Genomic DNA, 16,014 nt, shown 5'->3' with positions numbered 1-16,014 from the left:
TTGGCAACCCTTACAATAGACATAAATAACTTCAAGAAGAGAGATACCGGCAAAATGTACTAAAATAATTAGGAAACGATGAGTTGTATTACCTTTTAAAAAATATTATTCATTTAATTGTAACTTTACATAACTTAATCTTTTTTTTAACTGGCTGTTTAACAACCAGCAGTCTCCAGTGGAGATCCACTCCAGCCTCTGCACAGCTCTCTCTCCTTGCCCCACCCCACCATGAAATGGTGCACAAACCCCAATGCACTGCACTGTACCCTCCAAGCGGGCAGGGTTCATTCTGGTTTTGCTCACCACTGTATCCAGGGTCGTGTTCAATAGTCAGCCTGCTGAAAAAAGGAAAGCCTGATCTATAAAGTTTGACAATTTCCCTGGTGCAAATACAACCACCATGGCCAATTATTATACAAGCTACCAACATGTGTCCTTGGACATGGAGTTAGGAAGACATGCACCCCACGGCAGAGTTTCCACCACACAGATACAATACACCAGCAAGGGGCCAGATTCAGCCATGGACTGCAAAGCCTAAAATATTCACTCTCTGGCCCCTTTACAGAAAAAGTTTGGCGACCGCTACAATCGACATAAATAACTTCAAGAAGAGAGATACCGGCAAAATGTAGTAAAATAATTAGGAAGTGATGAGTTGTATTACCTTTTAAAAATATTATTTACTTGTAACTTTACATAACTTAATTTTTTTTACTGGCTGTTTGACAACCAGCTTGCAAAATTTCTGAAAAATTAACAATCAGCTGTCATGAGCCATTACAGATCGGCTTCAGGACACCGCTGCTTGTTTCTCCAGGGCATGTCACAAAGTAAATGCACCATGATTATCTGTTGAATGGCTGGATCTAGCTGAGACGCCAGTGTCCTAACTCCTGAGCTACATTACCCTGCTTCATTCCTTCTTTTATTTGATTCCATTAAACACCTGTTTATTAGCACCGAATTGAGTGGCAGGGACTTTGCCGGATACTGCAGCTCCATCACACATATGATGTTGTCCTCATGGGAGCTCACAGTCATGTGGGAAAGCCAGACGCCCTCACAAAAAATCATCACAACCGCCCCCCAAAAAAGTATACCAAGAAAAAAACAAACTCTCTGCTCTTTTGCTTACCAGCTGTATGTGTCTTTGATTGATTTACCGTCAAGTGGAGTCGTCATAGTACCTTCCTCCCAGGTCGCAGAAATTCAGTGAGATGATCAAGCCGAGCCCAGAGTAAGCACTCACAATAGTGTTAGCTATTTCACATTACCACCGTTATTTTAGAACCCGTATTGGCATGACCGTGGCAACGGGCCTTCCATCCAGACCACCTCTCTGAATCTTTCCCATTCGCCCAGCAACTGGGTATAGACACTCTAGACACAGCATCTCTGCAGGATTGGAAGCAGGGTTTCCAACTTGGGCTCTATTCACATTTGGGATGGATGACACTTTGTGGCAGGCAGCTGTCCTGTGCAGTCTGAGATGTTCTGCAGCATCCCTGGCCTCTACCTGTTGGATGCTAGGAGCATCCGCAAGTCATAACAACCAAAAATTTCTCTGGACCTTGTAGCTGGGACTACAGGCGTCCACCGCCACTCCCGGCTACTTTTTTTTTTTTTTTTTTTTTTTGTATTTTTTAGTAGAGACGGGGTTTCACTGTGTTAGCCAGAACGGTCTTGATCTCCTGACCTCATGATCCGCCCACCTTGGCCTCCCAAAGTGCTGGGATTACAGGCGTGAGCCACCGCGCCCGCCTTTGTCACCTAGGAGGCAAAATCACCCCTGGTTTCAAGGAAGATGTTTATTTCTCCCTCTCAGCTGGCAGAGGATGCTGTGGTGTCAGCCACCTCCTCATCAGTCATCCTGTGGGTCACAGTCTCAGGAGATCATATTGTTCACACTCGTGCCCTGACACGTTCCTCCTCAGATGCCACTTATGGGGTCTAGTAACAAACTGGCTTCTAGCCAACTTTATCAGACCGTCAAGGAACATAGGGCCCCATACAATGGAATGAGATGCAACTTGTATTAAGTCGTGGTTTTGGAGTCCGTTTAATGGCGTGAGGCCGTGTGTGTAATAAAATGTCAGGAACCAAAAGCAGGCAAAAAATTGTTCTTAAGCAATCCCAATTTTGTATCTACCCATGACGCTGTTGCTTTTGGGGGATTCTTTGGAAGTTCCATCTGAAAACTCTGTCTCAAAATTACATCAGCCAGGAGAGCATTCCTGAACCTCATTTATAACAGGAATCAGGTACTAGCGTAAGGGAACAGACACTCCGTACTGATGGCGTTTAATGTGCTGATCAAATAATAAAATGTGCTCATTCTCCCGGTGTAAAAAGAGGAGTCGTGTTTTGTGAAGTTGGTGAACATCCTCCTTCCTCTTCTGGGCTGATGTGAAGCCAGCCCATTCTCTAGCTCCAGCAGTGGGAAGGGAGGAGAGGGGAAGCTGATTCATGTTCAGCCGCCTGTGATGCTGGGGAGCCGAATGATAGCTCCCCACCCTCTCTGCTTACAGGAGACGAGGGAGGGCAACAAGGGAACGTGAAGTGCCAGCCTCTCCCCCTTCCCTTCTCACTGTCACCAAATAAATAAGTCTGGAATCGCTGAGAAAGTACTACAGAGGACTCAGTGCTTTCCTAGAACTAATATTTCTTACAATCGATTGATTGATCGCTTTTCCTACATACACCAAAACAATAGTGGTTATCTCCAGAGAGATGGGATTATGGGCAACCCTTTGTCCTATTTATTTATTTAGAGACAGAGTCTCACTCTGTTGCCCAGGCTGGAGTGCAGTGACGTGATCTCAACTCACTGCAACCTCCACCTCCCAGGTTCAAGCGATTCTCCTGCCTCAGCCTCCCCAATAGCTGGGATTACAGACACCCACCACCACATCCAGCTAGTTTTTGTATTTTTAGTAGAGATGAGGTTTCACCGTGTTGGCCAGACTGGTCTCAAACTCCTGACCTCAAATGATCTACCCGCCTCAGTCTCCCAAACTGCTAGGATTACAGATGTAAGCCACTGCGCCCAGCCTCTTTTCCTTTCGAAATCAATGTTATTTTTGTTTGGTTTGGTTTTGGGGGACTTTTTTGAAACAGTCTTACTCTATTGCCCAGGCTAGTGATATAGCAAAACTCTGTCTGCAGTGGTGCGATCATGGCTCACTTCAGCCTCTACCTCCTGGGCCCAAGCAATCCTCCCACCTCAGCCTCCCAAGTAGCTGGGACCACAGGGGCACACCACCACACCTGGCTAATTTTTTATTTTTTATTTGTGTTTTCATAGAAACAGGGCCTCGATATGTTATCCTGGTTGTACCCAAACTCCTAGACTCAAGCAGTCCTCCCACCTGAGCCTCCCAAAGTGCTGAGATTATAGGTGTGAGCCTACCACACCCAGCCAAATCAACGTTACTGGAGTATACTTTGCATGTAATAAGCTGCACCCATTTGGCCAGACACAGTGGCTCATGCCTGTAATCCTAGTACTTTGGGAGGCTGAGGCAGGAAGATTGCTGGAGCCCACGAGTTCATGACCAGCCTGGGCAATATAGTGAGACCCCATCTCTACCCCCAAAAAAAGAACCCATTTTAAAAGAATAGATTGACAAGTTTTGACACATATATACACACATGTGACCATCACCTCAATCAAGACATGGACCTGGAACTTTCCCACAGACTCAAAAAATACCTTCCTGCTCCTTTATAGTTGATCCCAGTCACCCACTGCCAGCCCCAGGCAATCCTTGATCTGCCCTCTGTCACTGTAGATAGTTTCACCCTTTATCGAATGTCATATACATAATACCAAAAAGTATGCATTCCTTTTCTTCTGAATTCTTTGGCTCGGTATAGAAGGATTTGAGATTTGTCCACGTTGGTGTTTGTATCGTTGTCTGTTCTGTTTTGTTGCTGACTAATATATCCATGACACAGATATTCCTCTTATGAGTAAGTTTTGTTTTCAATTCATTTTAATTTTTTTAATGCCATTTATTTTTAAAGAAACTCACAGAGACTTTATGAAGAGCTCAAATGCCAGGCTGCCATTGACTCGTGAACGTGGGGCATGGCTACACAGAGTGGAAGGCCATGGATCATATTTTTAAAAATAAAAAACCTGTGGGGCTGGGCACAGTGGCTCATGCCTATAATCCCAGTACTTTGGGAGACCAAGGTGAGATGATCACTTGTGTCCAGGAGTTTGAGACCAGCCTGGGCAACATAGGGAGACCCCATCTCTACTAAAAATAAAAAAAATTAGCCAGGCATGGTCACACACGCCTGAAATCCCAGCTACTCAGGAGGCTGAGGTATAAGAATCGCTGGAACCCAGGAGGCAGAGGTTGCAGTGATCCGAGATCGCATCACCGCACTGCAGCCCAGGCGACAGAGCAAGATCCTGTCTCAAAACAACAACAACAACCACAACAACAACAATCCACTGTGTTTTTCAGATTAATTACATCTGTCTCCCACACCAGTTTTAGCAGTGAGGCTGCTCAAATTGACCAATTTAAATGTGATTGCCTTTCTTTCCTCTCCATCATCTCTAAGTCAGTTGCCAAGAAGCAATGAAAGGAAGGAATTGGGGAGGAGAAGTGGTTTAGACTTGTGGAGCAGGTACTGATCTTCCAAAACTCACCCACACCCCCATTTGCATGGGTCAGTCTAGACAATCCTCAGATAAGGATGGGTGATGATATCACCCCATTTTGCAGATTAGGAAGCTGAGGCAAGGTCAAGGGTTCAACTAAAACCCCACAGCAACAGCGGGGGGTTGGGGGTGGTGCAAGAAACTCCATCCAGGGACTCCAGGTAGAAAAGCAAAGACATCAAGAAGACAGACCTTAGATTTGAAGCCCAGGTTTCCATCATCTTCAGCTGGGTTCCGCCAACCAAATCTCTTAATCTCTCTGAACCTCAGACTCCTATCTGTGAAATGGAGATTGAATTGTGATACAATTGAGCTAAGCAGATAATGCATGAAGGTGCTCAGGACAAGATGTCGGAAGAAGTCAGTTCTCAATATAATGGTAGGGAGAAATGGCTTCTCAACCCTTGGGCTCCTTTCTTGAGCTACAGCATGAAGTTGGAACTGACTCCAGCCTGCCTGGGCTGAGGAAAAAGGAGTGGATATTTTCTTGTAGCTCCAGGGAGCAGAGCCTCACAGATGCAAAGAAGAGAGAAGAAGGCAGGCCAAAGCCTCCAGATGCCTCTGTTGCAATAGTAACTAATCAGAGTGGATTAAACAAAGAATAGACATGGGTTGTTAGGAGTCACGGGTGCCTCCCAGGGCCCCAGTGGTGTGAAGGTAGCCAGCCCAAAAGGGGCCAAAGATCCAAGGACCCACGGACCTTCTCTGTACTTTATGTTTCTGTTTATCTCTGGGTTAGGCTGACTTAATTTGCTATGTTACTTTTGCATGACAGGAGGTGGCCATTGGAGAGGGCATCCCAGATTGAGCTAGGATCTGTTGAGCCCAGTTCTGAGGGAAGGACTTGGCTTGGGCCAGATACGCACCCCAGTCAGTATCTGAGCCAACCTGGACAAATGTGGTTGCTGGTGATCAACCCCTACAGGTGAAAAGGACAGTCAAGTGGGTCATTGCGAACTGGGCAGGGCATTTCTTCCTCCTATTAATAATAATAATGGCCGGGTGGCCGGACGCGGTGACTCACGCCTGTAATCCCAGCACTTTGGGAGGCTGAGGCAGGTGGATCACAAGGTCAGGAGATCGAGACCATCCTGGCTAACACGGTGAAACCCCGTCTCTACTAAAATTACAAAAAATTAGCCAGGCGTGGTGGCAGGCGCCTGTAGTCCCAGCTACTCAGGAGGCTGAGGCAGGACAAGGACGTGAATCCGGGAGGCAGAGCTTGCAGTGAGCGGAGATCACGCCACTGCACTCCAGCTTGGGCGACAGAGCGAGACTCCGTCTCAAAATAATAATAATAATAATAATAATAATAATAATGGCCGGGCGTGGTGGCTCACGTCTGTAATCCCAGCACTTAGGGAGGCTGAGGTGGGCGGATCACCTGAGACCAGGAGTTTGAGACCAGCCTGGCCAACATGATGAAACCCCCGTCACTACTAAAAATACAAAAATTAGCCGGGTGTGGTGGCACATGCCTGTAATTCCAGCTACTCAGGAGGCTGAGGCAGGAGAATTGCTTGAACCCAGGAGGTGGAGGTTGCAGTGAGCCGTAATCATGCCACTGCACTCCAGCCTGGGCAACAAGAGCGAAACACTGTCTCAAAAAATAATAATAATAAATAATAATAATAATAATAGCTAAGACCCATATAGGGCTCACCATGGGCCAGCCACTTTAGTAAGCACCTTACATGTATTTAATCCTACAAAATGATTAACTTAATTAATCATTTAAATTAATCCTTACAAAAACTTGATGAAGTTTATCTTGTCCGTTGTGCAGATGAGGAAACTGAGGCACAGAGAGGTTAAACGACTGACCCAAAATCACACTTGAACTGGGCCAATCTGATACCAGGCCTGCTCTCTCAGCCACCATGCCATATTGCCTATTTTAGCCTCAGTCATATTTTTTTTTTTTTTTTGAGATGGAGTCTCGCTCTGTGTCACCCAGGCTGGAGTGCAGTGGCGCGCGATCTCGGCTCACTGCAAGCTCCGCCTCCCGGGTTCGCGCCAGTCTCCTGCCTCAGCCTCCCGAGTAGCTGGGACTACAGGCGCCTGCCAACACGCCCGGCTAATTTTTTTGTATTTTTAGTAGAGACGGGGTTTCACTGTGTTAGCCAGGATGGTCTCGATCTCCTGACCTCGTGATCCGCCCGCCTCTGCCTCCTAAAGTGCTGGGATTACAGGCATGAGCCACCGTGCCCGACCCGCCTCAGTCATATTTTTTACAATTCATCTGTTAGCCCATGTCTCTCAAAATAAAAAAAGATGAGGAAGGGGAAGTATTTGAGATGTGACATTTCACCAAAGCATTTAACAGCCAACAACGGAACACAGGGGCACTTTGCTGGCCATCTCCCTGTTTTTATTTTGACCCAGAGTTGAGGGAGAAGGCACTGCCACGTTCTCGGGGCATGTCAGGGTCTCGTGCAGCCCCAGGACACTCCCACTGGCCTGTGACCACCTGGGGCCGAGATCCGCAGCTGCTAGGCTGTTACCCTGCATCTGCATACAGCAGGTGCTGGATACCGTTTGTGGTTGCTGAGAAAATGTGTATCTCGCACTACAGCTTTCAAAGCACTTCCAAAGACAGGGAAAGAGATCAGTTAAAATATTGCCCCTGTGAAACCTTCAAGAAGGTAATTGATGGAAGGAATTCACACAAGGGAGGCCCGCAAAAGCTGAATAACCAGGCCTCACGGGAGCAGGAACCGCGGAATCATCGGAAAGCCTCCTCTCTCTTGTGTTTCTTCCTACCCTCTCTGTGAGCCTGTCCAGCCCCTGGCCTTCCTGACAGGCTGCCTCTGCTTCTGTGTCTGGCCCCGGGCCCCAATAGGCCACTTCAGCCCAGTTGCCCAGGGTGAAGTGGTCACCATCTGCTGGTTTTCCACCTCTAAATGTCGGGATAAGGGGTCTGAAGGGCCTGTGATCTCTTTTTTTTTTTTTTTTTTTTTGAGACAGAGTCTCGCTCTGTCACCCAGGCTGGAGTGCAGTGGCGCGATCTTGGCTCACTGCAAGCTCCGGCCTCCCAGGTTCACGCCATTCTTCTGCCTCAGCCTCCCTAGTAGCTGGGACTACAGGCGTCTGCCACCATGCTTGGCTAATTTTTTTTTTTTTTGTATTTTTTAGTAGAGATGGGGTTTCGCCGTGTTAGCCAGAACGGTCTCAATCTCCTGACCTCGTGATCCGCCTGCCTCGGCCTCCCAGAGTGCTGGGATTACAGGCGTGAGCCACCGCGCCCGGCATGGCCTGTGATTTCTATACAGCCAGGCCTCCCCAGTCTCAGGTTCCCAACCCCAGGCTCAAAGAGGAAAGTCATTTGCCCAAAGTCTTCCAGAGAGACGGCCTCAAAGCCAGGTTTCTGTATCAGTTCCATGGAGCTGCCGCCAACTAGGGGGCTTTAAACAACTACAAGAAATTTATTTTCTCATAGTTCTGGGGGCCAGAAGTCCAAGATCAAGATGTTGGCAGGCTGGTTCCTTCTGCGGGCTGTGGGGGAAGTGTCTGTTCCATGCCTCTCTCTGCTGGTGATCTTTGGCATTCCTTGGCTTGTAGACAGACACATCATCGCAATCTCTGCCTTCATGCTCAAGGCGTTCTCCCTGTGTGTCTGTGTCCAAACTTCCCCTTTTTATAAGGACACAGTCATCGGATCGGGGCCCACCCTGCTCCAGTATGACCTCATCTTCACTTATTACATCTGCAAAAACTTTATTTCCAAAAAAGGTCACATGCTGAGGGCTAGGACTTGTATTTTGGGAGCGCACAATCCAATCCATAGCAGAGCCCAAAGCCCACCACAGCAGTGCATGTGTTCTGCCCCCAGCCCGGCTGGTTCTCCGTAAGCACACCCTGCTCGCCGGGCCTCCATTCAGCCCCCAGGGCGTCGCTCACCCGGTTTTATCTGGGACAGGCATGGACCCAAGTCTGCCCTACTGTCCTCGAGCTCACACTAGAATATTCACAGGGAGCAGTCATGATTTCTGAGGCTCCACTCCGGGTGCCATGGGCGGGACCTGACTCGACTTTGCGCTGAGCACTTAGGACAGCTTTGTTCAGCCGGACGGCCCATTGTCTGTTTCCCAACCACGCTCCAGTTTCATCAGGCAATTTTAGAGGCATTAAACCTGAACAGCTCACAAAGGACTAATGAGTTTCATTCAGCGTGGATGACAATGACCCGTGAATCTGAGCTGGACAGTGTCCCCTCTGCCTGAGTGGTTTCACAATAGCAGTGGTTGACAGGTGGCTGGGTCCTGGGCCAGGGATTCAGGCAAGTAGTTTACTTCTCTCTTTATTCATTTTTTTCTATTTTGTTTGGCTAAAAATCTTAAGCAGATTTTACTCAGGGGTTAACTAGGCAAATCTCTCTCAAAGGTTAGTTGCAGCTGAGAAACCCTAGATCTGTATGAAAGTGGGAAAGCTGACTCATTTCTTTGACCATGACAGACACCACCAATCAATCGTGGACTCAACCCTGAAGGCCACAGGGGACTGGAATCCAGGCCTGTGTACATTAGATTCTGTGTTCATTTCATACCATTATTTGGTGACTTGCAGGATTTTTTTTTTTTTGAAACAGATTCTTGCTCTGTTGCCCAGGCTGGAGCACAGTGGCACCATCTTGGCTCACAGCAGCCTCTGCCTCCCGGGTTCAAGCAATTCTCCTGCCTCAGCCTCCCGAGTAGCTGGGATTACAGGGGTGCACCACCACACCCGGCTAACTTTTGTATTTTTAGTAGAGACTGGGTTTCACCATGTTGGCCAGGCTGGTCTCGAACTCCTGAGCTCAAGTGATCCACCTGCCTCGGCCTCCCAAAGTGCTAGGATTACAGGCGTGAGCCACGATGCCCGGCCTTTGTTTTTTTTTGTTTGTTTGTTTTTTGTTTTTGTTTTTTTTTTTTTGAGACAGGGTCTCGCTCTTTTGCCCTGGCTGGAGTGCAATGGTGTGATCATAGCTCACTGCAGCCTCAACCTTCCAACCTCAAGCAATCCTCCTGCCTCAGCCTCCCAAGTAGCTGAGACTATAGGCTTGCAGCACAGACTGGGCTAACATTTTTTGTTTGTTTAATAAACAAAACGTTTTTTGTTTCTCTAACATTTTTTGTTTAACAAACAAAATATTTTTTGTTTCTCTCACATTTTTTTTTGTTTTTTAGTAGAGATGGGGCTTCACTGTGTTGCTCAGGCTGGTCTTGAACTCCTGGGCTCAAGAGATGCTCCTTGCTGGGCCCGGTGGCTCATGCCTATAATCCCAGCAATTTGGGAGGCCGAGGCAGGTGGATTTCTCAAGATCAGGAGTTCAAGACCAGCCTGGTCAACATGGTGAAACCCCGTCTCTACTAAAAATACAAAAAAAACTAGCCGGGCATGGTGGCGGGTGCCTGTAATCCCAGCTACTTGGAAGGCTGAGGCAAGAGAATTGCTTGAACCCAGGAGGTGGAGGTTGCAGTGAGCAGAGATCACGCCATGGAACCCCAGCCTGGGCGACAGAGTTAGACTCCATCTCAAAAAAAAAAAAAAAGAGAGATCCTCCTGCCTCAGCCTCCCAAAGTGCTGGAATTATAGGTGTGAGCCACCATGCGCAGCCTGAGCACGGAGGCAACTCGCAGCTTTGAGTCTGTACTTGGTATTTACCTCTTTGAAAGGAGAAGTGCTAAAGGGGCCATCAATACATACTAATTCTAGCAGCCATGTCACTCTTACTTATCCCCAGGAAGAGATCAGCAAGCTAGAACATTTTTCTTGCCAGGGCTAAAAAAAAAAAAATTTTAAATCTATAGGGGTCTTCTGGGGTACCCCTATTTTTTTTTTTTTCAGACAGAGTCTCACTCTGTCACCAGGCCAGACTGCAGTGGCATAATCTCAGCTCGTTGCAACCTCTGCCTCCCGGGTTCAAGTGATTCTCCTGCCTCAGCCTCCCGAATAGCTCGGACGATAGGCACCTACCACCATGCCCAGCTAATTTTTGTATTTTTAGTAGAGACAGGGTTTCACCATGTTGGCCACCATGGTCTCTATCTATTGACCTCGTGATCCACCAGCTTCAGCCTCCCAAAGTGCTGAGATTACAGGCGTGAGCCATTACGACCAGCCCCACCCTGTCTCTTTTGCAGGTAGGGAGAACTAAGGCTCAAAGAAGGGAAGAAGAAGCCTTCCCCAAGACCACACGGGTGACAGATGGCAAAACCAGGTTCGGCATTCCTGGCCCCCCAGCTCAGACCTCCCCCAACTGATCTCCTCCTTTTTTCCTCTGGCCTCTGATGGAGCCTGCCAAAGGCCTGTGTATTTCTCACCTGCCTGCTTATCATCTAAGTTAGTGGTGACAAGTCCCTGGGGAGGTTCATTTTCCTCCTGTTCCATCTGCCCCAGCCCCTTGAAACCCTGCTGCGCACTCTGCCTTGCTCCCTGATGATGTGTGCTGTTGCTTCCACCAGCTCTTGGGAGTTCTGCAACTTTCCACACCTTTCCTGGTGCTTTCTCTGGGCCTCCCTCCTGGTGTCACCATCCTCAGCCCTAGAGAAGGCTCTGAGCCTTGTCCCTTGCCCTGGTTCCACTGCAGCCATTTCCCTGGAGCCCCTCTGGCTCAGGTTCGCACTCCCTTCCCCCTTGCTCCACCACCTTCAGCTGCCCGATGCTGGCAAATCTTCCCATTGGCCAATTGCCTGGGGCAAGCCCAGCAAAGAGTGCAGACAAACCCCCTGGTGGCCACAAAACAATGTGGCCATAACAAGTCTAGGAACTCTTTAAAAAAATTTTTTTTTTCAAAAATGATATATTTTTGGCCAGGCTCTCACGCCTGTAACCCCAGCACTTTGGGGAGCCGAGGCAGGCGGATCACTTGAGGTCAAGAGTTCAAGACCAGCATGGACAACATGGAGAAACCCTGTCTCTACTGAAAATACAAAAATTATCCAGGCATGGTGGTGGGCGCCTGTAATCCCAGCTACTCAGGAGGCTGAGGCAGGGGAATTGCTTGAACCCAGGAGTCAGAGATTGCAGTGAGCCGAGATGGTGCAACTGCACTCCAGCCTGGGCAACAGAGCAAGACTCCATCTCAACGAGAAAAAAGAGAGACTTTTTTACTTGGAAAAATAAGAAGATACAGATAAATTAAAAAGCCAATAATAATCAGTTCAAGAATATTAATTAGGTACATACTATAGTCTAAACACTATGTACTTAGCTTATTTGGTCCTCAAAATAAGAGAAATTCTATAGGGCAATGACATAGTGTCTTCAACAAATAAATGGCAAGAAAAAAATGTGAAAGGGGGATAGTATTTTGGATGAAAAGAGACTTAAAAGGATTATGGACTGTAGAGAAACAGGCAGATGGATGGAGGACAGAACAGCTGCAGTAATGGGTTAATAGCTGCGTCTAGGGGCTTATTCAGGTGCTCGCTGTAGAATTCATTCCCGTTTGCTGTAGATTGAAAATTGACCTAATAAAATGCTGGGGTTTGGAGGAGGATCTATCAGCCGAACATAATGTGAGGGCTTTGTGGATCTTGATTGAAACAAATCACATGTAAAAAGACATTTATGGGATAATGGAGGATGAATGAACAGTGATTAGATATTAGATGTTATTAGGAAATTGCTTAGAAAAATTATACGTACGTGTATTAATGATATCATAGAAATTTTTTAATTTTTAACAGAGTCTCCAGGCTTGGGATTTGCTTGAAAATAACCAGTAGGGATGAGGCTGGGGAGGTAGAGATGAAACAAGATTGGCAATTCACTGATAATTGTTGAAGATGGGTGCTGGATAATGGAGGTTCATTAACTATTCCTTCTTCTTTTGTCAACAGCTGAAAATTCTGATAATAAAAAATTAAAACCTGGGCAACATGGCGAAACCCTCTCTCTACAAAAAACACAAAAATTAGCGGGGCATGGTGGCGTGTGCCTGGAACCCCAGCTGCTTGAGGGGCCGAGGTGGGGGGATCACTTGAGCCTGGAAGATAGAGGCTGCAGCGAGTTGTAATCAAGCTGTGATCATGCCACTATGCTCCAGTGACAGAATGAGACCCTCTCTCAAAAAACAAAACAAAACAAAACAAAACAAAACAAAAAAAAACTATGAGGTAGGCGCTATTATTTTGCAGCCGAGGACACTGAAATGAGGTCTAGAGGTGTCGAGTAATTTACCCAAGATTCCCTCTGTCACCACATCCCTGAATGTAGATTAAAAAAAAAAAAAATTCCTGCCTGTCATCCCATCACCTCCTCTTAACATCTTGATGGAGATCCTTCTAGATCTATGCATATAAAAGGACTTTAAATGGCTAGAAAATGTACATACTGCATGAGTCTACCCTTGTGCACCACCAATGACGCTAGTGTGTCCTTGAGCATAAATTTCTGATGTAGAGCTACGAAAAGGAAGTAACACATACGGAGCGCCTGTTCTGAGCTAAGCACTCTCACTGCACCACTTAGAAGAGCCTCATTAATCCTCCGGCAACTCTGGCAGGTGAGCACCATGGTCTCCATTTTTACAGAGAAGGAAGCAAACTCAGGAAGGAGAACTGCCTTGCCCAAGGTCACAGCGCTAATAATTGATGTAGAGTCAAGGGTTGGTGATGGGACTTGACTTTATTAAACACCTGCTTCTCCTCTTGACTGTAACCTTCAGGAAGGCGGCCATCTTGTCTGCTTTCTTGGGCCTGTTGTCCTGGAGCCTGAACAGGATTAATAAATATTCCTGGCCGGATGCGGTGGCTCACGCCTGTAATCCCAGCACTTTGGGAGGCTGAGGCGGGCGGATCACGAGATCAGGAGATGGAGACCATCCTGGCTAACACGGTGAAACCCCGTCTCTACTAAAAATACAAAAATTAGCCGGGCGTGGTGGCAGGCGCCTGTAGTCCCAGCTACTCGGGAGGCTGAGGCAGGAGAATAGCGTGAACCGGGGAGGCGGTGTTTGCAGTGAGCTGAGATCGCACCACTGCACTCCAGCCTGGGCGACAGAGCGAGACTCCATCTCAAAAAAAAAAAAAAAAAAGATTATTTGAATGAACAAAGGCACTAAAAAAGAGCTCTAGCTGGGATTTGAACGTCCTTCCTCCAATCTAATAGCATACTAGGAGTCCTTTCTAAAGAACTGTGGTAAAACACACATAAGAAAATTTACCATCTTGAGCATTTTAGGTGTACGGTTCAGTGGCATTAGATACATTCACACTGTCATGCAACCGTAAGTACCTTCCATCTCCAGAACTTTTCTCATCTTGCAAAACTGAAATTCCATGCCCGTGAAACAGTAAGTTCCCATTCGCCCATCCTGTAGCCCCTGGCAATCACCATTCTACTTTCTGTCTCCATGAATTTTTTTTTTTTTTTTTTTTTTAAATAAGAGACAGTCTTGCTCTGTCACCTGGGCTGGAGTGCAGTGACACAATCTCGGCTCACTGCAACCTCTGCCTCCCGGGTTCAAGCAATTCTCCTGCTTCGGCCTCCTGAGTAGCTGGGATTACAGGTGCCCTGGGATTACACCACGCCTGGCTAATTATTTTTTGAGATGGAGTCTCGCTCTATTGCCCAGGCTGGAGTGCAGTGGCGCGATCTCAGCTCACTGCAACCTCTGCCTCCTGGGTTCAAGCGATTCTCTTGCCTCAGCCTCCTGAGTAGCTGGGACTACAGGCGCGTGTCACCACGCCTGGCTAATTTTTTTTGTGTTTTTTTTTTTTTTTTTAGTAGAGATGTGGTTTCACCGTGTTAGCCAGGATGGTCTCGATCTCCTTACCTCATGATCCGCCTTCCTCGGCCTCCCAAAGTGCTGGGATTATAGGTGTGAGCCACTGCGCCTGGCTATAATTTTTTTATTTTTAGTAGAGACGGGGTTTCATCATGTTAGGATGGTCTCGATCTCCTGATCTCATGATCTGCCCACCTTGGCCTCCTAAAGGGCTGGGATTATGGATGTGAGCCACCGCACCCAGCCTCCATGAATTTGATTACACTGCCTACCTCATGTCAGTGGAATCATACAGTACATAGCTTTTTGCGACTGGAGTATTTCCCTTAGTACAATGTCCTCATGGTTCACTTATGATGTAGCATGAGTCTGAATTTCCCTCCTTTTTATGGCTGAAGAATATCCCATTGTATGGATAGACCAGAATTTGTTTATCCATTTGTCCATCAATGGACAGTTGGGTTGTTTCCACCTTTTGGCTTATTGCGAATGCTGCTGCCATGAACATGGGGGTACAAATATGTCTTGGAGTCTCTGTTTGCAATTCTTGTTGTTATATACCCAGAAGGGGATTGCTGGGTCATGTGGCACTTCTGTTTTTCTAGGCACTTCTTTTAATTAATTTTTTTTTTGAGACAGATTCTCATTTTGTCACCCAAGCTGAAGTACAGTGGCACAACCATGGCTCACTACAGCGTCGACCTCCCAGGCTCAAGTGATCCTCCCATTTCAGACCCTCAAGTGCCTGGGAGTACAGGTGTGTACCATCACACCCGGCTAGTTTTATTTTTATTTTTTGTAGAGGTGAGGTTGTTGCCTAAGCTGGTCTCAAACTCCTGGGCTCAAGTGATCTTCCTGCTTCAGTCTCCCAAAATGCTGGGATTACAGGCATGAACCACCTCACCCAGCCTGAGTTAATTTTTATTCCGTATTTTTTGCCTAACCATAGCTTTTCTGTTGCCATGTTTTTTGTCATTTTGATGACCACACATGGGTCTCAGGAGGTTGAATGATTCCTGTAGTCTTTGTGGAAGCTGCCCCTCCTCTAGGAACCTCCTTCCTGTCTGTCCCTGGTGGTGAGTCCTGCTTCAGGGACTCAACTCATCCTTCATGACTCCAAGGACTAGCTGAGACTTCTGGGTAACACCTGGGATTCCCCTTCCTGCCCACTTCCTGTTTGACATTACTCAATGGTTTGGGCCATCACGTGTTGAATGTTCCCTTTCCAGGGAGGACAACAGCTTCTGTCCCTTTTTTTTTTTTTTTTCACTTTGTCACCTGGGCTGGAGTGCAGTGGTGGTGTGATCATGGCTCATTGCAGCCTCAACTTACCAGGCTCAAGCAATCCTCCCACCTCAGCCTCCCAAGTAGCTGGGATTATAGGTGTGTGCCACGATGCCCAGATAATTTGTAAAATTTTTTTGTAGAGACAGGGTCTCCCTATGTTGCCCAGGCTGGTCTTGAACTCCTGGCCTCAAGGAATCTTCCCACCTTGGCCTCCCAAAGAGTTGGGATTATAGATGTAAGCCACCGTGCTCGGCAACTTCTGTCTCTTGCTCTCTACTCTCTCCTTCCCCGTTTATTTCACATTCTCTCACTAATGTTGCATGAATAAATG

The 16,014-nt window shown here is 47.2% G+C and overlaps 6 annotated features.

The window, feature by feature from the left end:
* Positions 6,194 to 7,103: an enhancer, noted in NCBI's record as "H3K27ac-H3K4me1 hESC enhancer chr16:81467025-81467934 (GRCh37/hg19 assembly coordinates)". NCBI's record gives its function as "activates a minimal SCP1, AML or CMV promoter by ChIP-STARR-seq in naive and primed H9 embryonic stem cells {active_cell/tissue: H9 hESC(naive and primed)}" and the evidence as "EXISTENCE:reporter gene assay evidence [ECO:0000049][PMID:30033119]".
* Positions 7,104 to 8,015: an enhancer, noted in NCBI's record as "H3K27ac-H3K4me1 hESC enhancer chr16:81466113-81467024 (GRCh37/hg19 assembly coordinates)". NCBI's record gives its function as "activates a minimal SCP1, AML or CMV promoter by ChIP-STARR-seq in naive H9 embryonic stem cells {active_cell/tissue: H9 hESC(naive)}" and the evidence as "EXISTENCE:reporter gene assay evidence [ECO:0000049][PMID:30033119]".
* Positions 7,222 to 7,471: an enhancer, noted in NCBI's record as "active region_11181". NCBI's record gives its function as "activates an Ori minimal core promoter by ATAC-STARR-seq in GM12878 lymphoblastoid cells {active_cell/tissue: GM12878}" and the evidence as "EXISTENCE:reporter gene assay evidence [ECO:0000049][PMID:35858748]".
* Positions 15,365 to 15,659: an enhancer, noted in NCBI's record as "tiled region #12949; HepG2 Activating non-DNase unmatched - State 21:Repr, and K562 Activating DNase matched - State 8:EnhW". NCBI's record gives its function as "activates a minimal TATA promoter and a strong SV40 promoter by Sharpr-MPRA in HepG2 and K562 cells {active_cell/tissue: HepG2 | K562}" and the evidence as "EXISTENCE:reporter gene assay evidence [ECO:0000049][PMID:27701403]".
* Positions 15,365 to 15,667: a biological region, named in NCBI's record as "Sharpr-MPRA regulatory region 12949".
* Positions 15,528 to 15,667: an enhancer, noted in NCBI's record as "active region_11180". NCBI's record gives its function as "activates an Ori minimal core promoter by ATAC-STARR-seq in GM12878 lymphoblastoid cells {active_cell/tissue: GM12878}" and the evidence as "EXISTENCE:reporter gene assay evidence [ECO:0000049][PMID:35858748]".

This window comes from Homo sapiens, chromosome 16, assembly GCF_000001405.40.
Source record: "Homo sapiens chromosome 16, GRCh38.p14 Primary Assembly".
NCBI classification, from domain to species: Eukaryota; Metazoa; Chordata; class Mammalia; order Primates; family Hominidae; genus Homo; species Homo sapiens.
Note: the sequence above shows the minus strand (reverse complement) of the source record. Positions and strands in the feature narration are given on the sequence as shown.